Source organism: Homo sapiens, chromosome 8, assembly GCF_000001405.40.
Source record: "Homo sapiens chromosome 8, GRCh38.p14 Primary Assembly".
Taxonomy (NCBI): domain Eukaryota; kingdom Metazoa; phylum Chordata; class Mammalia; order Primates; family Hominidae; genus Homo; species Homo sapiens.
In genome coordinates, this window is record NC_000008.11 from 141,500,197 (window position 1) to 141,525,647 (window position 25,451).

The window sequence follows — 25,451 nt, forward strand, 5'->3', positions numbered from 1 at the left end:
AAAAACAGATGAGACAAAGAGAAAACAAATTGCAAGATGGTAGACTAAAACCAAATCATATCAAAAGTCATATTAAATATAAATGATTAAATCACCACAATCAAATAGCAGAGATTGTCAAATTGAATAAAAAAGCAAGAGCCAAGTGTACACTGCCTATACAAAATCCACTTGAAATATAGTAGCTACCAATCAATCAAAAGTAAAAGGATGGAAAACGATATATCATGCTAACACAAATATTAAAAAAACTGTGTGGTTATGTTAATATCAGACAAAGTATATTTTAGAGTAAATAATATAACAGGGATAAAGAGAATCGGTCCATTAATCAAGGAGATATAAGAATCTTAAATATTCATGCATCTAGTCACAGAACTTCAAAACACATAAAGCAAAGAAGTTAGAGCTAGAAGGAAAAATAGACAAGTCAACAATCTTAGTTGAAAATGTCAACATCCATCTATTGATAATTGATAAAATAAGTCGACAGGTAATCAGTAAGAATATAAAAGGCTCAAACAATTATTAACCAACATAACTGAATTGACATTTATAGAACTCTAACCACAAAAGAATAAACTTTATTTTCAAATACACATGGTACATTTACCAAGGCAGACTATATTCTGTGCCATAAAAAGTCTTAGCAAATTGGAAAGGATTCAGATCCAACAAAGCATGATCTCTGACCACATGGAATTAAATTGGAAATCAATAACAGAAAGATAGATGGAAAATACCTAAGTATAAGGAAACTAAATAACATAATTTTAAATAATCCATCGGTAAAGAAGAAATAAAAGGTAATGAAAGTAAAAGGCATCTTGAACAAAAGAAAAATGAAAACACAGCATATAAAAATCCCTGGGGTGCAGCATTAAAACACCTGTATTAGAAAAGAATGAAGGTCTGAAATCAGATTATAACTGAATAAATTAGGAAAAAACCAGCAAATTAAACTCAAGAAAAAAAGAGCAAAAATCAATGAAATAGAAAATAACAAAAAATAGAAAAAATCAATGAAACCAGTAGGTTTTTTGAAAAGATGAAAACATTAATAAACCACTAGCAGGATTTATTAGGGCAAAAAAGTAAAAACACAGATTATTAACATCAGTAAGAGTGGGTACATCATTACAGGTTCTACAGACATTAAAAGAATAATGAAGGGATAGTCTGAATAACTTTATGCCAATAAATTTGGTGACATAGATGGAATAGACACATTTCTTAGAGTCATAAAATACCAAAGCTTACTCAAGAATGAAATAACAAGAATAACCCAAATTATGAAAATCGAATGTGTAGTTGAAAACTTTCCCATAAAGAAAATTTTAGGCTGAGTTGGCTTCATTCTTGAATTCTATCAAGTGTTTAAGGAAGAAATAATACCAATACTACAAACTCTTCCAGAAAATTGAAGAGGAGGGAACACTTCCCAACCCTTCCATGAGGCAAAACCTGACACCAAAACCAGATAAAGATATTGGAAATAAAGAAAACTACAGCCTAATATCTTCCATGAACAGACACAAACTTTCTTAATAAAACAATTTAAAGTATACAGAAATGCTTATCCATCATCTCCTAGCGGGGCTTATCCTGGGAATACCAGGCTAATTGAATATTTGAAAAATCAGTCAATGTAATTCACTAGATTGACTAAGGAAAGAAAATACAATGATCTCAATAGATGCAGAGAAACATTTGGTAAAACCCAACATCTATTCAAAAATAAACATAGGAATTAAGAAAAATTCCTCAACCTGATAAAGAGTATCTATAAAAATCCTACAGCTAACATCACACTTTATGGTGGAAGGCTGAATATTTTTCCACATGACTGGGAATGAGGCAAGAAGTCTGCTCTTACCTCTCTCATTCAACATTAGACTATGGACTTAATCAATGTAAGAAGTCAACAAAAAGGAATAAAAGTCATACAGCCTGGGAAAGAAGAAACAAACTATTTTTATTTGTAGAAGGCATTATTATACAAGTGGGAAATTCCAAATCTACAGAAAAGCCTACTAGAACTAAAAAATAAGTTCAGCAAATTTGCAAATTGTAAGGTCAATAAACAAAAATTATTCATATTTATACATACTGGCAATGAACAATTGGGAATTGAAATAAAAAAGGTACCATGTACACTAGCACCAAAAATCATGAGTTATTTAGGCATAAACCTAACCAATAATTGCAAGGTCTGTATACTGTAAACTACAAAATATTGATGAAATAAATCAAGAAAATAGATAGATACACCATGTTCATGGATTGGAAGACTCAATATTGTTCAGATATTAATTTTCTCTAACTTTTTCTAAATATTCAATGCAATTTCAATAAAAACCCCAGCAAGAATTTTTTTTGGTAGTAACCAACAAGCTGTTTCTAAAATTTATATGGAAAGGTAAAGAAACTAGGATAGTCAAAAAGATTTTGTAGAAGAACAAAATTGGAGGACCATTACCAATGTCAAGACTTATTGTCAAGCTATAGTAATCAAGGCAATGTAATATTGATAAAAGCACATAAATATAAATATGTGTAACAGAACATGGATTCCGGAAAAAGGCCCACACATATAAGGTCAATTGATTATTTTTGTTTTGTTTTGTTTAGAGATAGGGTCTCACTCTGTTGCTCAGGCTGGAGTACAGTGGTGTGGTCATAGCTCACTGCAGTCTCAAACTTCTGGGCTAAAGCAATTCTCCTGCCTCAGCCTCTTGAGTAGTTGGGACTATAGATGCATGCCACTGTGCCTGGCTTCAACTGATTTTTGATAAGTGTGCAAGAGCAACTCTATTAAAAAAGCATTAACAGATGTTGCTGCAATAATTGAACAGACACATGCAAAAAATAACCCCTAATCCATACCTCACACCATATGAAAAATTTACTCAAAAAGATCATAGACCCAAAAGTAAGACCTAAACTTCTAAAACTTTCAGAAGAAAATATAGGAGGAAATCTTTATGATCTTGGGTTAGACAAAGATTTCTTAGATGTGACACCAAAAGCACTATATAAAAGAAGAAATGATAAATTTGATTTCATAAAAATTAAAAACTTCTGCTTTTTGAAAGATACGTGAAACATGTTGGAATCAAAATGGAGTCACTGTGTTAAAACTCTGATAAATGGGGCTGGAGGAAGCCTTAAAGGAATGGTTCTCATGCACAAATGCCTGACTGCAAGAACGATCACAAAAGACTCTGCAAAACCCACAACCTTGCACAAAGGCCAATTGCAACCTTACACACACACACACAAATACTTCTGTGAGGTCATCTACCCAGAAAACTGTCTTTCCAACCTAGGACTCACCCCAGCCTTGTTATTGACCCTTGTAGCCAAGAATTATTATTTCAGAACAACTTATATAATCAATCATTTTAATTTTGCCTTTAAAAACTTACCCTTGCCCCAGCCTTGAATAGGCATGTGGTTTACTATGGCACACGTATTACTATTGCAATGCCCATTCCTGAATAAATATCATTTTCTTTTAGAGATCCCCTCTGTCTTTATTTTATTTTTGTTTTCTAGAGAGAGACTTGATCTGTTGCCTAGGCTGGAGTGCAGTGGCACAATCATAGCTCACTCACTGTAGCCTCAAACTCCTGGGCTCAAGAGATCATCCTGCCTCAGCCTCCCAAGTAGCTAGGACTACAGATGCATGCCACCATGTCTGCCTATTTTTTTTTTTTTTATTATAGAGGCAGGTTGTCTCTATATTGCTCAGGCTGGTCTTGAACTCCTGGGCTCAAATGATCCTCCTGCTTCCACCTGCCAAAGTGCTGGGATTACAGGCATGAGCCACTGCACCTGGTCCCCCTCTCTTTTATTTAGATTAAGGGATATGCATTAAAAAATGATAAGCTGCAGACTTGGAGGCAGTATTTGCAAATCACATATCTGATAAAGGACTATCTCCAGAATATAGAAAGAACTCTCAAAACAAAACAAAGCAAAGCGCAAGCGGCCTAAGGAAACACAGGCAGGAGACTGGGACAAGGCATCAGAGGAGGCAGACAGATGGCAAAGAAGCACCTGAAAAGCACTCAACATTTCTCACGAGGGAAACCAACTAACACCACAGTGGGCTATCACTACACATCTACTGAAATAGCTAAAATCAGAGACACTGGAAATACCAAGTGCTGGTGAGGTTGCAGAATAGCTCTGAGCTTCCATACATTGCTGGTGGGAATGCACAGTGGCACAGCCCTCTTGGAAGATAGCCTGGTATTTGCTAATAAAGTCTAATGTACACTTACCAAATGGCTCAGCTACCCGCTCCTAGGCATTCACTCAAGTGAAATGACTACTGACTAAAATATATACACAAACATTTATACTGACTTTATTTATGCTATCTCCACATGGAAATAATCCAAATGTCCCTCACCCTGGGAATGTATAAACAAACCATGTCACACTCACAGTAATGCTACTCAGCAACAAAAGAGGTGAATCACTGATAAACACAAAAACATGGATGCTCCAGGAGGGAAACCAGATTCCAAAAGCTACATTTGGTGTCATTTCATTTTTATGACATTCTGAAAAAGGTGAAACTACAGACAGAGAGCAGGTCAGTGGTTCCCTGGGACTGGGAGTTGGAGAGAGTTCACTACAAAGGGATGGGAGGGAGTGTCTGGGAGATGGAGTTGTCTGGGCATCCTGTACCCACCGCCATATTTTGTTTGTGATGGTGAGTCCATGACTATATACATTTGTCAAAATTTGAAAGCTATACACTAAAAATAGTGAATTTTGTCATCTGTAAATCATACTGTAATCGAAAAGAAAAAAGACACATAAGAACAAAAATGGTCTCTCTGCCCTTATTTCCTTCTGCTCTCCCTTGCTTATTCCACTCCAGTGGTGGGGTGCTCCCACCACCGGGTGCACATCTACTTCTGGACCTTTGTGTGGCCACTCCTTCCGTCTGGGGAATGCCGTTCCTTCAGATGGCTGCCTGGCTCAGTCCCTCACCTGATTTTAGTCTTTGCTCAGTTGTCACCTTCTTGAAGAACTGATTTAAATCCTCACCCCACACTTCCCCCTCCCCACCCTCTCTTTTTTCCGTGTCACTTTTTGCCCTGTAACATCATATCCTTTACTTTCCTGCTTCTGGTCTCACTGGCAGGTCTCCCTACCTGGAATGTAAGGCATGAGGGCAGGGTCTTTATCTCTTTTGTTCCCAGCAGTATCCCCGACACCTAGAACACCTGGTCCACGTAGCAGGTGCTCAGCAAATACTGGCAGAATGAATGGAGAGCTTCATAGCAGGTGATGTATCCAGAGCCACCACCGGCCCTGTCCTGACCTTGGACATGGCATTGTGACAGCCCTCCCACCTCTCCAGGATCCAGTCTGTCCCCTGTAATCATCACACCAGATCCAGCTTCCCAAATGCCTTCTGGTGGACCCTGTGAGGCTCTGCTTCCCTGGCCCCTCTGCCCAGAGCATGTCTCCTTCTCCTCCTTTCTTTCTGTCCCTTTGCCAGGGCTGTAGGAGGATACCCACCAGGCTTCTCCATCCCATAACTGCAGCAGAGGGTTGGAGTTGCCTGAGAAGCTGCATTTCTGCACATCTGAGCTTTGCTGTCTGAAGAGCTCTAGAGCCTCCGTCCTAGATATCACGTGTTCTGACATCTCCTGGCATCTCAGGGCCAGGGCAGCTCTGGGGAGGCCCTCAGACCCTGCTCTCTTGACCTTGAGAGGTCAAGACACAGTTTACCCCTTCTGGAAGCCGCCTCCTTCCTGTGGCCTCTCAGAAAACTAGCCAGTTCCCTGATCCTGGAAAGGGTGACCTTCCAGACAAACCTGGCTGGGGCCCACTCTGGGAGTGGGAGTGAGGATCCCGTTGGAGCTAGAGCCCGGCTTCCCCCAGGCACAGCAGTGGTAACAGCATGGGCCGCAGGCACCAGCGAGGCCTGTACCTTGCCCCTCCAAACCCACATCACAGCCCCTGTGGCTTCCAGAGTTAAATGCATTTTTAAAAATAGAAAAACGATGTGAACACACTATTAGCAAACATCTGCAGAGGAGTACTCTTGGCTTAGCAGCAACAGAAGCTATGGCAGAGAAGGGAGGCCTGACAACATTCAAACGTGGACTGCGAGAGCCGGAAATACCTGAGTTCACAGGCAGGTACCAAGACATTCCTGGAACAGCCACCGTAGGCAGCGTGGATTGCAACAGGGAATCCTGCTCTGAACCCATGGCTTGGCTGTGGGCCCCAGCCCGGGTGGACGAGTGTCTGGACAGCAGAACCTGCTCTGAGTCCCCATAGAGGGGGCGGGCAGGGCTCTGGGCTGGGGGCCAGACAGCTCTGACCTGCGTATCAGACACAGGAAGGTAGAGATGCCCTTTGTGTCTTTCCAGGTTCCTGGGACACTGGGGTTCCCTGGGGACCCTGGAAGGCTGTGGAGGAACCTTCCTTTATTCATGTCCCTTAAATCTCTGCAGAAACTCTGGCTGTGGTATCATCTCAATTCTGCTGAATAGAAGCCGAGGCCCAGAGAAGCAGGTGAACGGTCTGTCCATCCATTCACTGACCCGTTCACACAGCCTGCAGGCACTGTTGGCAACACAGGCCATGGTCCCTCTGGCCCTCACACAGGTGCAGGCTATGTGGGCAAGGCCCTCACTCCAGTTTAAGCTTCCGCCCTCCTGACCTCCTCTCCTCCAACCTGATCCCCACTCCAACCCCTGCAGGCTGCTCCTGGGGGCAGGACCCTCCTTCCTCAGCACAGGGGCCCCTGGATGGCCTGCAGGGAGGCTCCCCTGACAGATGAGGAGGCTGAGTACCGGTGGGGGGGGGTCAGGGGGTCCCTGCTGGGGTTGAGCTGACCTGGAGTTTTGGGACACGGCTGACGACACTCTACCCGTCGGGGTGCAGCTGTATGGCCTTTCAGAACACTGCCTGTCCATGGTTGGGGTGCAGTGCAGACCCACAGGAGCTCACCACTAACTCTGGCCTCACGCCTGTGGGCCGGCCCTGTCTACGGCACTGGCCCTCCCCCGCCCTGGCAGGCCTGACCTCACCCCTGAGGTCACAATGGTTCCAGTGTCCACAGCATCCTTTCTAGGGTCTGTCTGTGTTGTGGGGACAGCAGGTGTGCGTGTGTGCCTGTGTTTGTGGGTGCGTGCTCAGACGTGGGTCCTCAAGGGGTCCCGGGCCTGCCCCTTCCTTCTCTGGGCCTCAGTTGTCTCCTGGGAGACCCGTGGATGATCCGGCTTGGGCCATTTGTTTGCTAAGTCCAGGTCCCTGTGTGGGTGGCAGGTCCCGGGGCTGGAGCTGTGACTTCCCCTCTGGGTCTGAGTGTGAGCACGTGCGATGCGCTGGGCTCCCCTCTGGGCGTGAGAGTGAGCACCTGCGATGTGCTGGGCTCCCCTCTGGGCGTGAGAGTGAGCACCTGCGAGGTGCTGGGCTCCCCTCTGGGCGTGAGAGTGAGCACCTGCCATGTGGTGGGCTCCCCTCTGGGTGCGGGTGCTTGCCGCTTCTGGGATCCTCTCCAGCCGAAGGAACCAGGAGCGGGGAGAGCCTGGGAGCTCAGCCTGTGGGGCTGGGCAGGCTGCCCCGAATCAAATCCAGCCCCCTCTCTGCTGACCGCGTGCCCGGGAACCTCGCCGTGCCTCGCTGTGCACTCCTCCCCGTCTGTAAGACTGGAGCAGGACCGAGGGTCAGAGCGGCCGCTGTGGGCCTGGCCCTGCTCACCGCCCTGGGATTGGGGTGGAGCTCAGAGAGGGCCAGGAGCCAGCGGCTGGTCGCACAGCAATCAGTGGTGGAGATGAGCCTCAAACTCAGGTCCCCAGACCCGAGTCTAGGGTGAGGACGAGGCCCCTGGAGCAGTGGCACCCCCTCCCTCCCCGCCGCCTGCTCCGCGACCCGGCCCCCGCGCGGCCGGCAGATGGCGCTGCGGGCCCAGGCAGGACTCGCGCGGCAGGAGGGCCGCGGCCTGGACGGGGGGCCTGTGAGAGGCGCACGTGCCACCCAGCCCACGCGCCCTCCCCGCCGCACCCTCCCTCCAGCCAGGGACCCGCAGAAAGGGCGTCATGGGTAGGGGTGCCTGGCATCCCACCGCCTTAGGCCTGGGGCTGCGGGCACTACCCACTGGGGGCAGTGAAGCCGGAGGGCGCCACGTGGGTCCCACCACCTAGACTTTGCCTAGGCCGTTCCCCCTCCTGCTGTTCGCCTGCAATGAGGAAGGGGCCAGACTCAAGGGCCGGGCAGCCCCCTGGCCTCCCAGGCTCCTTCTCTGTGTCCCTGCCCAACTCCCCGGGGTTCCTAGGCTGCAGCCAGGTTTGAGGCTTTGTGCAGTGCCTTCCTCCTGGAATGCGCCCTGCCCCCCACTTTCCTAGAGAAACTCATTTTTGCCCTTTCCTATTTGTCCTTGGAGACCCCCGCCCAGGCCACCTCCTCGGGGAAGCCACCCTGATTTCTTTGGGCTCCCATAGCATTTATTCTCGAGGCGGTTTGTTCAACCTTGCTGGGCTTGACTGGGCGGCGGGATGGTGGGGGCTGTGGTTTGACTGGAGGTGACAGGAGGGGCCAGGTGGACACCCATGCCCCTTGTCCAGCTGGGTCCCACCTCCAGCTCCCCTGGCTGCTGCCCCAAGGCCTGACTCTGTGAATTTCCCTTCCCAGGAGACAGTGGCCCTGTTTGACCAGTGGACACCCCCACAGAAGACGTAAACATAAGACCTGAAGCTGTAAAACTCCTAGAGGGAAACAGGGGAAATGCTGTTTGACATGGGTCTTGGCAATGATTTTTTGGATATGAAGCCAAAAGCACAGGCGAAAAAGCAAAAATAGACAAGTGGGACTACACCAAACTCAAAAGCTTCTGCACAGCAAAGGAAACAACAAAATGAAAAGGCAGCCTACGGAATGGGAGGGAATATTTGCAAACCCTCTCTCTGATAAGGGGTTAACATCCAAGATATATAAGGAACTGCTGTCACTCAATAGCAGAAAACCAAATCAGCCAATTAAAAAGTGGGCAATGGATTTGAATCGACATTTATCCAAAGAAGACAAATAATCAGCCGGTATATAAAAAGGCACCCGACATCACTTATCACCAGGACATGCAAATCAAAGCCACAGTGAGACCGACTTGCACCTGTTAGGATGGCTGGCATCAAAAAGACAAGATGGCAAGTGTTGGCCGGGGTGTGGAGAAAGGGAGCCCTTGTACCCTGTTGGTGGGAATGTAAAATGGTGCAACCAGTATAGGAAACAGCATGGAGGTTCCTCGGAAAACTAAAGATAGATCTGCCATCTGATCCAGCAATCCCTCTACTGGGTTACAGCCAAAGGAAATGGCACCAGGATCTTGAAGATAGAGCTGTACTCCCATGATCGCTGTGGCTTTGTTGAGGATAGCCAAGATACGGAAACGCCCGAAGTGTCTGTGGTCAGATGAATGAAGAAAGAAAATGTGGTATAGACACATGATGGAATATTAACCTTTAAAAAGAAGGAAACCTGCCATATATGACAACGTGAATAAACCTGGAGGATTTTATGCCAAGTGCAATAAAGCCAGACCCAGAAAGGCCAATGCTGCTTGATTCTGCTTCTACATGGAATCTAAAATAGTCAAAGTCAGAAGCAGAGAGTAAAATAGTGGTTCCCAGGGCGGGTCGGGGGAAAGGGGAAAGGAGGCATTGCTGCTGAATGGGGATGAAGTTTCAGTGAGGATGAGTTGCAGGAGTCCGCCGTGCCACATTGCGCCCATAGTTAACGGAACTGCACTGCACACTTAAATGTTTGTTAAGTGCGTAGATCTCACGTTAAGTGTTCTTATCACAGAAAAACAAAAACACCCACCACAAACAACCACCACTGAGCACACCCGACCCAGCCTCTAGTGGCAGCACTGGGATCCCCAAGGGGGGCTGCAGGGCCTCCAGGTTGGCCCTCCCCTAGCAGCTGCGGCCTGGCGGGGCTCTGGGCTCTTGCTGGGGCTCTGTGCTCCCGGCTGAGGGAGTCCCTGTCCTCTCTGAGCCTCGCTGCCCTCAGATGCACAGCAGGGATGGACTGAGGCCCCTCCAGGGGGGCAGAGAGAGTGCCCACCTCCTGGCCCTGGGTGGTCCCCATCCTGCAGATGGTTGATTTCCTATGCCAAGATTGCCTAGGGAGGGTCCCACTGGCGGCTCTGGGGTCCACAGGGTGGGGCAGCCCCGGTCAGCCCCAGGCCCGGGTCCCCAAGCTGGGACACTGCCCAGGGGTTCTTCCTCTCCTTCCAGGGCTCCCCTCCTCCTCCACACCCCCTCCTACGCTTTCACAGAAAAAAGAGTGGAGAAAAGGCAAAAGAAAGAGGTTTTCTCCTCCGCTTTCTGAAAATGAGATTTTAAAAATAACTCCTGGCGGGGGGAGCGCTGGGAGGGGCCTTTCTGGGGAGGCCAGCCAAGCCTGCTCTCCCTCCTCCATCAGCAGCCACCCCCCAGGGCCTTTCTGGGGAGGCCAGCCGAGCCTGCTCTCCCTCCTCTGTGCCTGCTCTCCCTCCTCCGTCGGCAGCCACCCCCCGGGGCCTGGGTCTGCATGCCTCCACCTAGAGGCTTCTTCTGCCGGGCCCCCTTCTCTGTCCCTCAGGAAGGTGGGGCCTTCCTGACCTGCTGGAGGAGGCAGCAAAGGCCAGTGTGTAGCAGGGGGGCTGCTGGGGGGAGGGGGTGATGCTGATGGTGGAGGAATGTATGTCAGGCTGTGGCCCCAGGCAGGAGAAGGGGGCTGGCTCCTACAAGTCCCCTGCGTCTCCTCTGTCTTGCCGGTGCCCTCGGCCTCCTCTCGGCTCACTGCTCACCAGCCACAGGCCTCCTGGGCTGATGTTTCATGGTCCTCAGGGGCTGGGGCTTTTCCTGCCACAGGGCCTTTGCACACGCTGCTCCTAAGGCCCGCCTACCCCCTGCTTCAGCATCATTCCCTGAAAGGCCATCTCAGATCACAGAATGGACACAGAGTGTCCCCCCGACCTCGACATTGTCAGAGCTCCCTGCAAATTTCCCTTTCACAGTGGCATTTCCTTCTGGGTTTCTCTCTATTGCCCTCCCGCTTACAGTAGAGAGGCACCGGAGGGTGGGCTGGGCACAGATGCTCTTGCTCCCTCACCCCGCACTTAGGCTCTCGTCATTCCCATTCTTCACCTGCCATCACCTGTGTTTCTCTCTGGGGGGATCTCTGGCCACTGCTGAAGCTACCAGGGAATCCAGCTTTCCTGGGAGCAGCCCTTGACCCGTGATTTGGGGGCGGGGACAGACGGCTCAGCCCTACCCCTCCGATGGGGTGACCCAGTGGGATCAAGCCCCGGTGGCTTCCAGGATGCTGAGTGCTTGACAACGCCAATCCGGCTTCCCACCTTCTGAGTCTCTCTTCCTCCCCCACCCCACAGTGTTTCCTGGGATCACATCCTAAGAACATGCCTGCCCTGAGTTGCTGCCTTGGGGTCTGCGTGGTAGGCAGAAGAAATGCCCCAAAAATGTCAATGCTCTCATGCCTGGCACCTGGACTTATTAGTTTTTATGGCAAAAAAGGGCTTTGTAGCTGGATGAAATTAAGAATCTTTAGGGACATTATTATCCAGGTGGCCCCCAGTGCAATCATGTCTGGCCTTACAAGAGGGAGGCAGAGGCAGGTTTGACTACAGAAAGAAAGGAGGCCGTGTGGCCCCGGAGGCAGAGGTTGGAGGGAGGCGGCCACCAGCTTTGGCAGAGGTGAGGAAGGCTCCTGCCAGAACCTCTGGGGCGAGTGTAGCCCTGTTGGCTTGATTTTGGCCCAGGGATGCAACTTTAACCCAGGATGGTGTTAATTAGTTACAGCAGCTCCAGGAAGCGCACTCTCAGCTGCAGGGGAGCCCACACTGAGACGCACTGGGTGGGCTTCATTCTTGCTGCCAAATGAAGTTGTCCCTCCAGATGCTGGGCACATGGCCACCCAGGAGTGGATGGCATGTCCCAGCCTCTCTTGCAGCCAAGGGGGACCACAAGACCAAATCCTCAGCCCTGGAATTTGAGAAGTGGAGTGGGCAGTGCCCTGGAATTTGAGAAGTGGAGTGGGCAGTGCCCTGGAATTTGAGAAGTGGAGTGGGCAGTGCCCTGGAATTTGAGAAGTAGAGTGGGCAGTGCCCTGGAATTTGAGAAGTGGAGTGGGCAGTGTCTCCTTGTGTTCTCCATAGGAAGCTGCCAGCCCACGACTGCCTTTGCCCCTCCCGGGCTGGGATGTGGTACGTGCCGCTGCACCTCGGCCTCGCAGATGAGGACACCCACCCCTGGGTGAGGGCAGAGCCACAGGCCAAAGAGCCTGGGCTCCTGAGTATCCCCATGGAGCAGAGCTGCCCTCGAAGCCTGCAGTGGCTGGACTGTTGCAGGAGGGAGACAAATGTTCTGTCTTGTTTTAGCCACTGTATTTGGGGGTGCTTTGTTGCAACAGCTTAGATGTCTCCCTGACTGATACAGCTTGGTTTAGAGGCCACTAGCCAGCTGAGGCTTGGTCCCCAGGAGGTGCTCAGTGGCGGTCTGCAGAATGAGCATGTCAGGATGAACTGTTTCTTCCTCTTGTAGTCACACAATGATATTGATAGCTGAGCTGCCATTCAGGACCATCATTCGGCCGGAGCCCACCAGGCTGAGCTGAAGTTGACCTGCGCCTGCCTTGAGAATTGGTGTCGGGGGGCCACCTGGCCGGAGCACAGGAAGGTGGAAAACACATGCTGGCCATGTGAATACAGGACCACACTCACCACGGCTGATTCTGAGGTCCGAGAGCTGGGTGTGCTCCTGCCTACAGGTGCCTGGAGGGCTGGGCTTCAGCCTCTGCTGGGTCTCCTGGGCTGCACCCCAGCCTTGCTGGAGGTGGGGGAGGGCATGGAGTGTGGCTTGTCTGGGGAGAAGGGTTCCAGCTCACCTGCTGGGGCTGAGCAGGCCTTTCTTTAAGTCTGGCCCAGAGGATATGGCCCAGGCCTGTCCTGAGGGGTTCTCAGGGGGGTGGGAAGACAGAATGGGTACAGGGTTTTGCCATGACAACCCTGGCCTTCCCTGCCTCCCGCATGCCCACCTTCCTAAGTCTGAGGCTGGCACTGACCTAGGAATCTCAGCGGAGGGAGCTGGAGCCTGGGCTGCTCAGAGGGTGTGGCCCCGAGGGGCAGGGCCCTGGACATGGGACCATGTGCAGCCTGAGGTCATCACCAGGACACATGGGAGCCCATGGAAGGCAATGGAGGGACCATATCCAAACAGATGACTTCTGATGGGGTGCCAGCCAGGCCTGGGAGGCTCTCAGGTACAGAGCAGGCCAGGTGGGCTTCCTGAAGGAGGTGATATGAGCCAGAACCTGAAGGGGGAGCATGAGTTTGCATTGCAGAGGAGAGTGGGAAGGGCACCCTCTCAAGGCAACTGCACAGAGATGTGGAGGTGCAAAAATACAGAGACCAGGAGAGGGGAGGGGCCCCTGCTCCCCAGTCAAGCCCCGTCCTGTCCTGCGTCACAGCCCTGCTGTATTAGAGGCTGTGGTAACAGAGAGCCTGGCATGAGTGACACTCAAACACCAGGGGCATTGACTGCTCAATCACATCCCAGTCTGTGGCTGGGGTTCTCCTTGTGAAGAGCCAGGCCCCAGCTCAGGCCCCTGGGAGCACTTACCTTTCTTTCCCTGAGGCCATCTCTGGCTGCCAGGCTCCTTACAAGCCACACCTGCTGGGGATACAGCAGCCCACGGCTGTTTGGGCAGGCGGGGTAGCTCTGAGGCCATCTCCGGTAAAACTGTGCTGGGATGCGTCTTCCCAGGCTTTGTTCCCTTCTCTGTCTCATGTCCCCACCCCTACCAGCACTTGATCCCACTTTGGGGGAACTGATATCCCCATGAGCTCTTTGTGGCTGAGGCAAGGTCTGACCTGCTTCATAGGGACTACTGGAGTTGCTGAAGATGGGGACTGCTGACCTGGGCTCTGAAGACTTCGGGAATGCCTGTGGGAGCCCCGTGGTCTGGAGGGACAGGCCAGCTGAGGCTGGATCAAGGCCTCGGCTGCCCTGAGAGCACTCACAGGCTGCGGCTGTGGACACCAGGCTGACCCGAGGTGAGTCAGGAGGAAGAGTGCTGGTGGGGACAGGCTGGCGGTCTCTGGGTGCCAGGTTCTCATGGTCTCTGAGCAGGGCAGGTGAGCAGATGTGACTGGGGATTGATCTCGGAGGGTTGCTGGGTGCAATGGGAAGGGTTAAGGATGGGAGGCTGGCCCAGAGGGTGGCCCTGCAGGGTCCAGGCGAGGGGCAGGGTGCTGGGTGAGGGGCTGCAGTGATGCCCACAGAGAGTTTAGTGCGCAAGAGGCCACTGAGCCCACAGGTCCCCACTCAGCCTCCCCCACAGCCCCAGCCCACTCCTGAGTGGAGGCCCTTTAAACGCAAGGTTCTGTCCTCCCCTGGGAGGCCCCTCCCCGTCTCCTGGGCAGCCTAGTAAACAGAAGCCTGTCTCCCGGGCTGCTGGCATGGCCTCCTCTTGTCCTGGGACCCCCAGCCCAGCAGGTCTGCCCCCTCCTTCTGTAGCCACTCCAGGCGAGACACTTGGTGAGGGAGGGGAATGGACGGGAAGGGGGACGGGGCACCTGGGGCTCTGAGAATGTGGGAGCAGGAAGCGGCCCTCTGACCCATCTTCCAGAAGAAGATGCTCTGCCAAGGTCATGAAGGAGAGTGGCAGTGGGGCTGGGCCAGGATGGGGGCATGCGGGCATCAAAGCCTCCCTGTAAAGGTCCTTCTCCTCCCTACGCTCCCCAATGCTCTGATGCTCTGAAGTCCCCAGGGAAGGGGTTGGCTCTCTTCCTGAAGCCTTTGGATCTATGGACCTGGAGGTGTGCAGGGTCCTTCTCACTCTTTAGGGCCCCTTCCGGATCATTCTCCTGCCCTTGCCTCTTCTAAAACTCAGCTCTGGATCTCAGAGGCAGTGGGAGGGGCAGCCAGCCATCCATTCACTCACCCATCTATCCACCCATCCACCCACCCATTCACCCACCCACCCATCCATCCATCCACCCAACCATCCATGCATCCATCCATCCATCCATCCATCCATCCATCCATCCATCCATCCATCCATCCATCCATCCATCCATCCATCCATCCATCCATCCATCCACCCATCCACCCACTCCTCCACCCACTCATCTGCCCACCCATCCGTGCACCCTGCTCATGGTCAATGCCTTCACTCCTAAAGACCCTGGCCCCTGCCCTGCCCTCTCCCTAGCTCTCCTGTCATCCTATTGGTGATTTCTCTCAGCCCCTCGGACTCCTGTAAGGATTTTGTCCTCTCACCCAGCCACCCACCCGACAAACTGTACCCAAACTGCAGTCCCCTTGTCCCCACCGCACTCTGGGGATTCTTGCCCCAGCTCCTGCCCTCGAGGGCCAGCCCCAGCACTCCTTTAGTGAGGTGGAAGCCCACAGTGTCTTCCACCTGTCTGGCCTCCTCCACCCCTCCTCACATCTTTGCCATGGCCTCTGCCCCCTCGCTGGCCCCTCTCCTGTTTTCTTGTACTAGTCTGGCAGCTCCAACTCCCTGCTACCCTTGCCTGTGCCCTTGCAGTGGGCTGCAGCTGAGTGAACTCCACCTTGCTAATGCCTGCACTTGGCTTCAGCAGCAAGGAGGCCGGCTCCGCTGCCCTCCCTGGTCTGCCCAGCCTCTCCTCACCTAGCAACCACCTCGCACCTTCTCTCCCTCTAAGCCCCCATCGTCTCTCTCCTCACACTGTGCTGCTGGCCTTGCACCCTCCTTCCCTGAGAAGCTGAAGGCATTGGAAGAGGACTTTGCTGGTGCCCACCCACTGTACTTGTGGCATTGGGCGCTGTCCACCCCGGCCTGCTCCTGTGAATGCCCCATCCCTCCTCCCAGCCAAAGGCAGCATTCAGCTTCTCCCATTCCATCCCCCAACTCACGCTGTCACTCCAGCAACTCTTCACCCTCTTTCTCCTGCATCATGATACCGCTCTTTCCCAGGTCGTTCCCACTGGCATGAAAGCATGCTGCGATTTATCCTGTCTCTTGACCCCACTTCCCTTCCGTCTCCTGCCCTACTTCTCTGCTCCACATTCAGAGCCGAACCTCAGGAAGGTCATTTGTCTTTGCTGCCTCCACGTTCTCCCCTCTCCTTTGCTCTTGAACCCACTCTCACCGGGTTTTAATTTCCAGTGCTTCACTAAAGCAGCTCTAGCAAAAGTCATCAATGACCTCTGCGCTGGTAAGTCCGAGGTCACTTGGACTCATTTGATGTGATGCGCCGGCAGCACACGGCTCAGGTCCCTGCTGCCACACTTCCCACGCTCCCATCACTGCCCGCTCCCTCTTGGTGCCCTCACTGGCTCCTCATCTCCTTGACCTGGTCAGGAGGGAGGACCCGAAGCTCTCTGCTTGCGCTTCTGCCCTTTCTAACCCAACTCCCTCAGTGATTCATCTAGTTTTGTGGCTTAAACATCATCTCCCCAGTGTCTATCTCCAGCCTCGACCCCTCTACAAGCAGAGCAGTCCAGGCTCTTGTGTGAGCGGATCTTCTCCAGCCTCTGGGCTCCACTCTTATCCCCAGCATGGCGCTGTCCACGGTGCTGATTTAGGAAAGTACTTCCCATTGATCAAACAGGCTGGTCAATGTCATCTCATCTGCAACTGCAGCAGAACAGGGTTGGTTGGCTCCATTTTCAGAGGCTCATGGAAGGTGAAAGACTAGCCCAGGCCCTGACAGGTGGAAGGACCCCCACGTCTGTGCTCCTCATGGCTGTAGTCAATGGCTCAAACAGAGCCTGCCTGCCACACAGTAGGTGCTCAGTGAATATTTGTGCAGAGGGAAGAGACTGTTAATCAAAAGGCCCTTGAGCCGGGGGCGTGGCATAGTGGAAAGTGATTGCCCAGCCCAGGGCTTCAGCTTGGCATCTGTGTATGACTTCTCTGGGTCTGTATCCTCACCAGTAAAACAGACTGAATATTGTTACCCCTCCCAAGGGTGTTGGGAGAAGGATCTGACAATTCATGGTCATATTCATCCATTCCCACTTCCTAGCCTCCCAGTGTGGCCATCCCCAGACAGCTGCCTGGTCTGGCTCCTGTGTCCACCTGACTACATTCTTTCCTGGACTGTGTGCCCAAGTGAGGTCCCATGGCTGCTTTGCTCACTTCAGTATCCCTACAGCTAAGCACATTTGCTGAATGAAAGAAAGAAAGAAGGAATGTAGGGGTCTCTCCTGAATGGAGGACCTAGATTTGGGCAGGGTGTGGACCATGGGCCAGCAACGTGGGTGCCTTCTGGGGACCACGGATAGGCTGAAGGGTGGCATGACTGAACCAAAACCAAACTCCTCTTCCACCTCCGCTCCCTCCTGGGGCCGCACCTCCCTCTGGATTCCAGGGTCAGCTGTGTCCAGGCTGCGAGCCAGGCTGTTCCCACAGGCTCCTCCCTGTCTCTGTCTACAAGGCCTGGCGATCTGGCCCTGCAGCCTCTCCCCAGGTGGCGTTTTCCCATCCTCATGTTCATCTTGTCCTCCCCTGGATCTGACCTTGAAGCTGGGCCCCCAAAGTCCATTCTCTGCACAGCGGCCGGATCAACTTTCAACTGAGAGTGACTGCTTCACCTCCTGCCCCAAGCTGGCCACTGTCTTCAGGGAGAACCTCAACATCCTAAGCTCGCTCAGTCCCCACGTGGTCACGCTGGCCAAAGTCTGCAGCCTCCTCGCCATCGGGAAGGCTCTGCCCAAAGAGTACTTAGTGAGCATCCCCTTCCGTACACCCAGGACCTCCCTCTCTTCCTGGTTTGCTGTTGCTGTTCCCTCAGAAATGCAGGGCCCGGCCTCGCCTCATCACCAGGTGGCCCTGGCCATCCCCAGCTCTGCCTTTCGAGCTCATTCGGCGGCTCCTTCCAGACTGGCCACCTCTCTTCGCGCCCGGCCTCCTGGTCTCCCGCCTGCGCGGGCCGCTCCCGGCCCTCCCCGCCCTGCCGGGCGTTCACTGTCCCCTCCGCCCGCAGGTCCCGCGGCGCCCCCGGAGCCCGCCTTCCCGGACATCTACGGCGGGGACGCGCAGCTCTGGGAGGCGCATTTCCGCGGCATCGGGCGCGCCTACCGCGCGCTGGGCAAGCAGGACGACTTCGCCATCCGCGTGCTCACCGAGAACTTCACGCTGCCCTTCCCGTTCGCCTGGCCGCCGGGGTCCGACCCCGCCTGCGGGCCGCTCTTCTACGACCCCCGCGACCGCGCAGACTTCGACTTCCTGCTGCGCGGCCCCGGAGCTTCGCCCCCAGCGCTGCTGCGGCCCCTGCACGCCACGGCCCAGGCAGCGATGCGCAAGCGGCGCCTGGAGCGGCTGGCCCTGAGCTGCGCCCGCGCGCGGGGCCCGGGCCCGGCCTCGTCCTGCTGCTGCCCGGCCCCGCCGCCGCCTTCCCGGAGCCCGAGGCCAGCGCTTCCAGCGACGGCACCCCCAGGCTGGCCCAGGCCCCGCCGCTGCCCCGAGAGCGAACAGAATAAATAAAGAGTTTCCCCAGCTCTCCCGCGCCCGGCGCTTTTCTGCACACACTCCGACAGGCCTGGGCGGCTGGGCCCGGCGGGGAAGGGGGGCGGTGGGACGGTGGGACGGTGGACCAGGAACCCAACTGGGACACCGGGCCAGGCCGGGCAGCGGTGGGCCTGGGAAGCCGCATGGGTCCGAAGGTGCAGTGAACATATTCGCAGTAGAAACGGTGACGGAGGCAGGCCCTCTTCAGAGGGAGGAGGACCCGGGTACGGTGGGTGGGGGGGCCGGGCCTCCACCCTCAGTGCCCACGCCCTGGGACCCTCCCCACAGCTCTGCGGTGGGGACTAGCGTCCCCATCCCACAGACCAGCATACCAAGGCCCCATGCCTCCAGGGAACAGCTGGGATTTAGTTTGCCACATGCAGACACCAAGTCTGGCAGCTTTCCCGTTTCCCATGATAGAGGGGGCAGCAGGATGGGGAGGGGGCCGGGAGAAGGGGCGACGCAGCAGAACAGAGGAAGAGAAAGGAAAGGAGTGGAGAGCATGCGTGGGGCAGAGAGACGCGAAGGAGGGGGCACCACAAGGCACCTGCCCCTCACTTGCTGCCTCCCCCTTCCTGGTCCTTGGGGAGGGGCTGCCTCCTGCTTCCCCCGTGTGGGGCTGAGAGAGTCTGTTGAGCCCAGCATGGCCAGCAATGACCTGGCCTCTGCCCTGGACCACCTCCCTCTGCAGGTGACAAACCCCTGCCAGAGGCCTGGCTCTGCTGTGGGCCCGCTGGTGGCAGGGCGGGACGACGGCATGACCCCGATATCTCCTCCTCCTCCTCCCCACAGAACACCAAGCAGGGAGGCCAAGTGGCCTTCAGGAGAGGTGCCATGGTCTCACGCTGGGAGCTTGCAACCCAGGCGTGCAGGGGAGACCACATCAAGTGCAGGTGGAATCCGGGTGTTTTTTTTTTTTTCTTTTCTTTTTTTCCCGAATCCAGGAGTTATTTATCACATGCCAGTCATGGGGAGAAAAGGTTTTTCCAAGCCCTGGTTTTGCTGAAGAAGCAGTTGTGGATGGGAACAGTCATCTCTGGAGAAGGAGGAAACCCTGGGCTGGGAAGAGGCATCTCCAGCCTCCCCCTCCTCTGCTGCCACCGGCCCCAGCTGAGACGCCAGCCCCTGCTCCAGGCTTCTCCCACCTGGGGCCTTGTTTCTTCAGTTCTACAGATGCACAGTTACATTGCAATAATAACCATGCGTTTGAATCCTGACGGGGCAGCAGCAGTAATGACATTAGGTACTATATATCCTATATTGCGTATGAATTGGGGTCCCCAGAAGCAGTCCCTGAACATGGATTTTGGTGCGAGTGGTTTGTTTGAGACGTGGTCCTTGGAAACACAGGCAGGGAGTGAGGACGCAGGACAGGCAGGGAAAGAAGCCAGGAAGGGTGCAATGGGAGCAAGTTACCCCTGTGGGCACTGGAGGTCAGTCCTATGGGGGACCCCTGGGAGACAGTGTGGTGCGTGCCCCGGAGCTGTCCCACCCAGGGAGAGTGGCACCAAGCACTACTACCTCCTTGTCATCACTGGCAGTTTGGCTTACCTGTGGGGTATGCATCCAGCTCCCCTGAAAACAGCAACTAACAGTGACCACTGAGAAATGTTTATAACAATTCGATGAGTAATTTTATGACTGGAGAGTGTAACAAGATAAATGTGGGGTTTATACTTTGTGCTTTTTAAAACTACATTTTTCTAGAAATTTATTTTTAAAGTAGTTTACAGCAGTGTGGGGCTGTGTCAGATTGGAAACAAAAACCTTGGTCCTTCACCACTGCTAGCATGGGAAGCTTGGTCTAGGGAACCCAGACCCAAGGCAAGTAATCAAATAGGAAACAAACACGGTGAAGAAATGCAGTGAGTACTGTGAAGGACATGAAGAGACTGACTGTACTTCAAATAGGGTGGTCAGAGAGGCGAGTCACCCTGGAGAAGGCGGCGTTGAAGCTGAGGATGGAAGGATGAGGAGCAGCCAGTTATATGGACATTGGGGAGGACACTTCAGGCCAAGGGGGCCGTGTGGGCAAAGGCTGGGGAATGAAACAGAGCTTCAAGGGTCAAAGAATGGGAACCAGGGCTCTTTCAAGCTGGAGCAAATGGAGCAGTATGTTATTTGAAGCTCTGACTGGCTTAAACCACAAAAGGGACTAAATGGTTCATGTAATTGGAACATTCAGAAATAAGATGAGCTTCAGGGAAGGTTTGATCCAGGGGCTCAGTGTTGTTATGGAGGCCCAATCTTCTGTGATGCCAGTTCTACCCTCAGACTAGTTTCCTCAGTAGTGGTAACATGGTAGATGCAGCTCCTGACTACACAGTCTGCCTGGCCACTGAGAAGGCCAGAGGCCACTGGCTTCCATGAGCTGTCTCAGATGAGCAGCTGTATGTCCTGCAAAGCCCTGGGAGTCTCCTCACATGACCCATGGGTCTGGTTGGGTCATGTGCCCAATCCTGAACTATCCCTGCGGCCGAGGGAGTAGCATGCATTGATTGGCTTAGGCCTGTATTGCCTGAATCTGTGGCAAGGGGGTAGGGTGACATTGGCTGGATTGTGACAATAAGGTCCAGAACACTGTGTGGCCCACAGTGGGGGAGCTGACCTCCATGTCCAGCACCGCCAAGTGGTATGAACCCTGGGATTTGCTCCAGGGCTGACTTCTGCTAAATCTCATGACTTCCTTCCAGTTAGACCGGCTGCTCCCACAGAAAAGCATGGTCAGAAACGACCCCAGGCTGGAGTCTCTGTCTTTTGTGTAAAGCAGAGTCGATAATCTGTTTTCTCAGCATCTGTTCTGTGCTGTGCCTGATGCTGAGGCTGGGCATTCACGGAGGGAAGATGCTTCCTGCCTCCAGGAGCTGGCAGATGGAGGGCTGGGAGGGTGTCAAGACAACAGACTGCCCGCATTGCCCCTTGAACAACAGCCTGGGCAATTCCTCCTAGGACTCAGTTTCCCTGCTTCCCTCCATCACACAGAGAGAGCCAGGTAGCCCTCATATTGCCCTTTTTGCTATGGCTGCTGGGATGCTCAAAGCACATTTGTGCCCCATTGTTCTGACCTTCCCAGGCTTGCCATTTTGGGGCAGCTTGCCCGTCTGCTCTGGATTTGTGGTCCCCTCCAGCTGCCTGGCTTTTTTTTTTTTTTTTTTTTTTTTTTTTTTTTTTACAATGCCTGGATTATAATTGTAAGAATGATGCTTCAATTATTTTTGGAAAGTGGGGGGAAATACCTTTTTTGTAAAGTCACGGATTCCAGCTCTGGTTGGCAGCAATTCACCCCCGAGCTTCTTCCCACTGACCTGCCAGGAGACTCTGCCATCTTTTCTGAACAAAACCCGGTGGCCTATGTGGAAATACCGTGGCTATTTCCTTGGGAGCCAGCCACTGTGTCGTTGGGCCCTGGTGCCACTGGGGTGGGCAGGGGCTACAGCACGGGCTCTGGGAGGTGACAGAACTTGGCTTGCGTGCTGGGTCCTCCACCCACTGACCGGGCAGCCCTCAGCCGCCACTGCTGATTTTCGTGCCTTAGTCCTCAGCTGTGAGGGGGAACACAGCAACAGGACCTCTGGGGAGCTGCTGAGGGGATCATGAGAGAGACTGTTGGTCATGCCCCCGATCCCAGCCTGGCACGGTGAGAGCCCAACAGAGAGAGGGCAGCTGTTTCTCCATGATGGGCCGCACTCCCTGCCCTATATGCAGGCTGGCACAGACACCTTCCCCAGGGCTAAGGGGGGCCATCAGCTTTTCCCCAGCACCAGCTGGCCCTTGTGCTCAGAGGGTTCTGGAATCAGAAGCAGACATGTTCCCCCTCTTTGCAGCTGTGTGGCCTTGGACAAGCCTCTTGACCTCTCTAGGGTACCATGTCCTCACCTGTAAAACGGGAGTCAGAAGCATGTCTGGTGTACAGCCTCGATGAGCTGGTGCAACCAGCCGGGGACCTGCCCATGCAGTGTTCTGTAAATGTGGCTATTACTTGTTCCCTTGTCTGGCCACCCCTCCTCTGTCCAGAGAACACAGTTGCCTTGCAGGGTGCCTCTTATCCTCCCTGGAGCCATCTCTTCGGCTCAGCCCAGAACACACCAGCCTCGATAGGGAGCTGGAGTTGCCAAGGGCACAGCAAGGGCATGCTGTTTGACCTGTTCCATTCCCCGTAAGGCGCTGCTCCGAGAACCAGGATAGGCACGCAGGAGGTGCTCAGTATTTTCTGAATAGGCCAATGTGATCTGGGAGATAAGCTTGCTGAGCAGAGGGGCTGGGGCCTCCTGGGGCCCTGCTCATTCTGGGTGCAGGCGGAGCCCCAGAGGGAGGGCAGGAATCCGGGGTGTTGGCTGGAATCGGGAGGCCAGGTTCTTTCCACCTCCCCAGCTGTCCCCGGAGACTTCATACCCTTCGATATTCAAAGGAGACGGGTTCCTCCTTTGATTCTGGGGCCGCTGGGGATGGGGTCAGGTACGCCCCTCTCCTTGCCCCTGCTCCAGTTTCCTGGGAACGGACTCTGAGGAGCAGCGAGGATGTTTAATTAATTGCAATTACTATCTTCAAAGGAAGCCCAGAGTTGAAAGTTGTTCCTAATTACTGTGTTATGATGTCGACCAGCTACTTAAATTGATTGTGTGAGAATTTCCGATGGAGAATTGATTGAGTTGCTGTGAGGACCTACTCTATGTCCCTCCCCTTTAGATGTTTGGCCTAGGCAAAGGCGTGTGGGGCTGGAATGACAACGAGGGCTGGGACCCGGGCGGCAGCTGCCTAGATGAAGACCTCGTCGCCAAGGTCGGGGCCGCGGGCTCGGTGTGATGGCCCGTGGAGTCCATCATGCGCTTTCTCTGCTGGCCTCTGGCACTTCGCAGGGGGCGCTGCTCCTCCTGGCTCCTGCAGTGGGTGAGGTCAGCAGGTGACCAGTGCTGGCCGACGAGTTGTGGGCACAATGACGTCTGTCACTTCTGGGTCAAAGCATTTATGGCCAGTGTGAGAGCCTCTGAGCTCTCTTTCTGTCTGCCACCACAGGGTGTGCTCAAGACAGTGGCTCCTTCACCACCCGAGTCCTGGGCTGGCCCAAGGCGGGGGACCTGCGGTGTGAGTGAGAGGCGAGCCGTCGTGATGCCAGCCCCTGAGAGTTTGGGAAGGCTTTCTTACAGTGTCATCTAGCCTCTCCTGACCAGCACAGGATCCAGCAGGCAGGCCCGGCTGTGTAATGTGCAGGCCCAGTGTGAAGTGAAATGCAAGCCCACCGTGGGAAAATTAGTAAGATTTGGCACAGCAGGGGCAGCACGCTAGAGCCAGCTGGGGCCTTCTGAGCACGGGCCGTCTGTGACCACTCAGGTTGCCTCCTGTGCCGTCATCAGCTCTGTTGCAGGCCCAGGTGTCCTTTGGGGTCTGCAGGTGTGGATGTGTGGCTTCGGCTGAGTGGCTTTCTTCCTCTGTGCCTCAGTTTCCTCATCTGTGAAATGGGAGGCTGTGGGGCCCGAATGGGATGGGGCAGGGGTGTGACCGTGCTTCAGGGGGCGCAGGGAGGATGAGTCAAGGTGACTCACTTTCCTCCTGTCCTTCTGCCTGCAGGAGGAAGCTTCCTCCCTCAGCAGGTGGTCACCTATTGCATTTCAGACACGGGTCTCTGGCCTGGGACCCAGTGGGAGCCCCTGCCTTCCCGAACGAAGATGGAGCACAGGGTATGGGGGAGTGTGTGCCATCTCAGTGAGAAAAGTGCCTTCGAGGGCATCAAGCAAGCCTGAGGGCGGAGGAGAGGGGCATCCTTTCCCGCTGGATGGCAGGGAGGCCTCCCTGAGAAGGCACACTGAGCAGAGGCCCCAGGGAAAGGAGGGCTCTGTGGAGGTAGACAGTTGCGGGTGGGGAGCCCGGGCAGAGGGAACACCAGCGCAGGAATCTGGAGGCCAGAGGGAGGCCCGAGCCTCCAGCCCACGAGGGCAGAATAGGAGGATGCGGCGGCTCCCGGGACCCAGGCCTGACGGAAGGAACTCGGACTTGTCCTCTGGGTGGGTCTGGAGCCAAGAAATGCCATGATCTCATTCATGCATTAGAACAAGCATTCCCAAGGGGGTGGTCTCAGCCCCAAGGGAAGTGTTTGGTTCTTGGGGCATGAAGAAATCTCACTGTTTATGTAGAAAGCCCAGATACTTACACGGCACATAAACAGACGCATATTTGTCTGTGGTTCTAAAATTCCATGGTGGGCGGGCAAATTAAAAAAAAAAACAGCCTATAAACGTTCCTTAGGTTAGGGGGCAGTGATAAAGAAAGCAAGTTTGAGATGCTGATCTGGAAGGATCGTTTCACCGCCATGGGCTGGAAATAGGTTTGGGGGCAGAGGCAGGAGGCGTTCAGGGCTGTCGTGAGGAGCCCTGCCAGCTCACTTGCTGGGTGGGTCTGGCGGTGTCAGCGGCGGTAGAGAAGTGGGTGGATTCGGGGGTCCTCTGGAAGGGGGAGCCAGTAGGGATTCCTGAAGGGTAGACACAAACTCGGAGAGAGAGAGGGTCAGGACGGCAAGGCTGGGGCCGGGGCGGCGGGAAGGGTGAGGTTTCTGTGCACTGAGATGGGGCTGCTGGGGCTGTCTGGGGAGTCCGAGGTGCCCAGGGGCAGGCGGTGGGCTCAGTACACGAACGCTGCGGGCAAACAGGCCGGGGGAGGAGCGAGGACCTGCCTGCTGATGGCACTTGAAGCGCCCCTGGAGAGGTGCGCTTGGAGCCCCTGATCATGGCAGGCCCTCAGGCTTCTCATTTGCAAAATGGGGCAGCTGACTCTTGGTCCTGGGTGGGTTCCCATCCCTGGGGTGGGGCTGGAGTTGCTGAGGCCCATTTCAGGCCCGAAGGCTGGGCTGTTCCTGGGAAGTGATGAGTGCCCTCTAGCCCTTTCATTACTGGACGCTACCTAGCCCTGAAATGCAA

The 25,451-nt window shown here is 53.8% G+C and overlaps 1 protein-coding gene, 2 long non-coding RNA genes and 1 other non-coding gene across 9 annotated transcripts in view, besides 5 other annotated features; 2 read left to right on the top strand and 2 right to left on the bottom strand.

The window, feature by feature from the left end:
- The window catches only part of MROH5 (maestro heat like repeat family member 5 (gene/pseudogene)), a 73,405-nt gene extending 66,372 nt beyond the window's left edge, over nt 1–7,033 (bottom strand). For all 3 annotated transcript variants that reach the window (NR_102363.3, NR_102364.3, NR_160399.1), the window contains 1 exon segment: nt 6,874–7,033. This is a non-coding gene — a transcript (maestro heat like repeat family member 5 (gene/pseudogene)).
- Nucleotides 7,034–7,122: 89 nt separating this feature from the next.
- On the top strand, nt 7,123–9,589 carry LOC124902031 (uncharacterized). 2 transcript variants are annotated; one of them, XR_007061132.1, is made up of 2 exons: nt 7,123–7,851; nt 8,671–9,589. It is a non-coding gene; the product is annotated as an uncharacterized LOC124902031 (long non-coding RNA). The 2 variants fall into 2 exon arrangements; XR_007061131.1 differs by having other exon boundaries at nt 7,123–7,164.
- Nucleotides 7,364–7,884: an enhancer, noted in NCBI's record as "H3K4me1 hESC enhancer chr8:142517660-142518180 (GRCh37/hg19 assembly coordinates)". NCBI's record gives its function as "activates a minimal SCP1, AML or CMV promoter by ChIP-STARR-seq in naive H9 embryonic stem cells {active_cell/tissue: H9 hESC(naive)}" and the evidence as "EXISTENCE:reporter gene assay evidence [ECO:0000049][PMID:30033119]".
- Nucleotides 7,835–8,014: a silencer, noted in NCBI's record as "silent region_19593". NCBI's record gives its function as "represses an Ori minimal core promoter by ATAC-STARR-seq in GM12878 lymphoblastoid cells {active_cell/tissue: GM12878}" and the evidence as "EXISTENCE:reporter gene assay evidence [ECO:0000049][PMID:35858748]".
- A 2,823-nt stretch (nt 9,590–12,412) lies between the features above and the next one.
- LOC105375791 (uncharacterized) lies at nt 12,413–14,019 on the bottom strand. Of its 3 annotated transcripts, none has more exons than XR_928727.1 (3): nt 13,960–14,019; nt 13,662–13,712; nt 12,413–13,353 (listed from the first exon to the last, which is right to left on the bottom strand). It is a non-coding gene; the product is annotated as an uncharacterized LOC105375791 (long non-coding RNA). The 3 variants fall into 3 exon arrangements; XR_001745743.1 differs by lacking the exon at nt 13,960–14,019 and having other exon boundaries at nt 12,413–12,936; nt 13,105–13,353; nt 13,662–13,930; XR_928726.1 differs by lacking the exon at nt 13,960–14,019 and having other exon boundaries at nt 13,662–13,930.
- Nucleotides 14,073–14,367: a silencer, noted in NCBI's record as "tiled region #1454; HepG2 Repressive non-DNase unmatched - State 23:Low". NCBI's record gives its function as "represses a minimal TATA promoter and a strong SV40 promoter by Sharpr-MPRA in HepG2 cells {active_cell/tissue: HepG2}" and the evidence as "EXISTENCE:reporter gene assay evidence [ECO:0000049][PMID:27701403]".
- On the top strand, nt 14,475–18,533 carry C8orf90 (chromosome 8 open reading frame 90). Its single transcript, NM_001395960.1, has 2 exons — nt 14,475–14,579; nt 18,020–18,533. The coding sequence occupies exons 1-2, from the start codon at nt 14,501–14,503 to the stop codon at nt 18,517–18,519; spliced, it is 579 nt and encodes a 192-aa protein (NP_001382889.1). The 5' UTR covers nt 14,475–14,500; the 3' UTR covers nt 18,520–18,533.
- Nucleotides 16,453–16,747: a silencer, noted in NCBI's record as "tiled region #1869; HepG2 Repressive non-DNase unmatched - State 19:H4K20, and K562 Repressive DNase unmatched - State 20:ReprD". NCBI's record gives its function as "represses a minimal TATA promoter and a strong SV40 promoter by Sharpr-MPRA in HepG2 and K562 cells {active_cell/tissue: HepG2 | K562}" and the evidence as "EXISTENCE:reporter gene assay evidence [ECO:0000049][PMID:27701403]".
- Nucleotides 16,490–16,690: a silencer, noted in NCBI's record as "peak7193 fragment used in MPRA reporter construct". NCBI's record gives its function as "represses an SCP1 promoter by STARR-seq MPRAs in K562 erythroleukemia cells {active_cell/tissue: K562}" and the evidence as "EXISTENCE:reporter gene assay evidence [ECO:0000049][PMID:32103011]".
- Nucleotides 18,534–25,451: the final 6,918 nt, after the last annotated feature.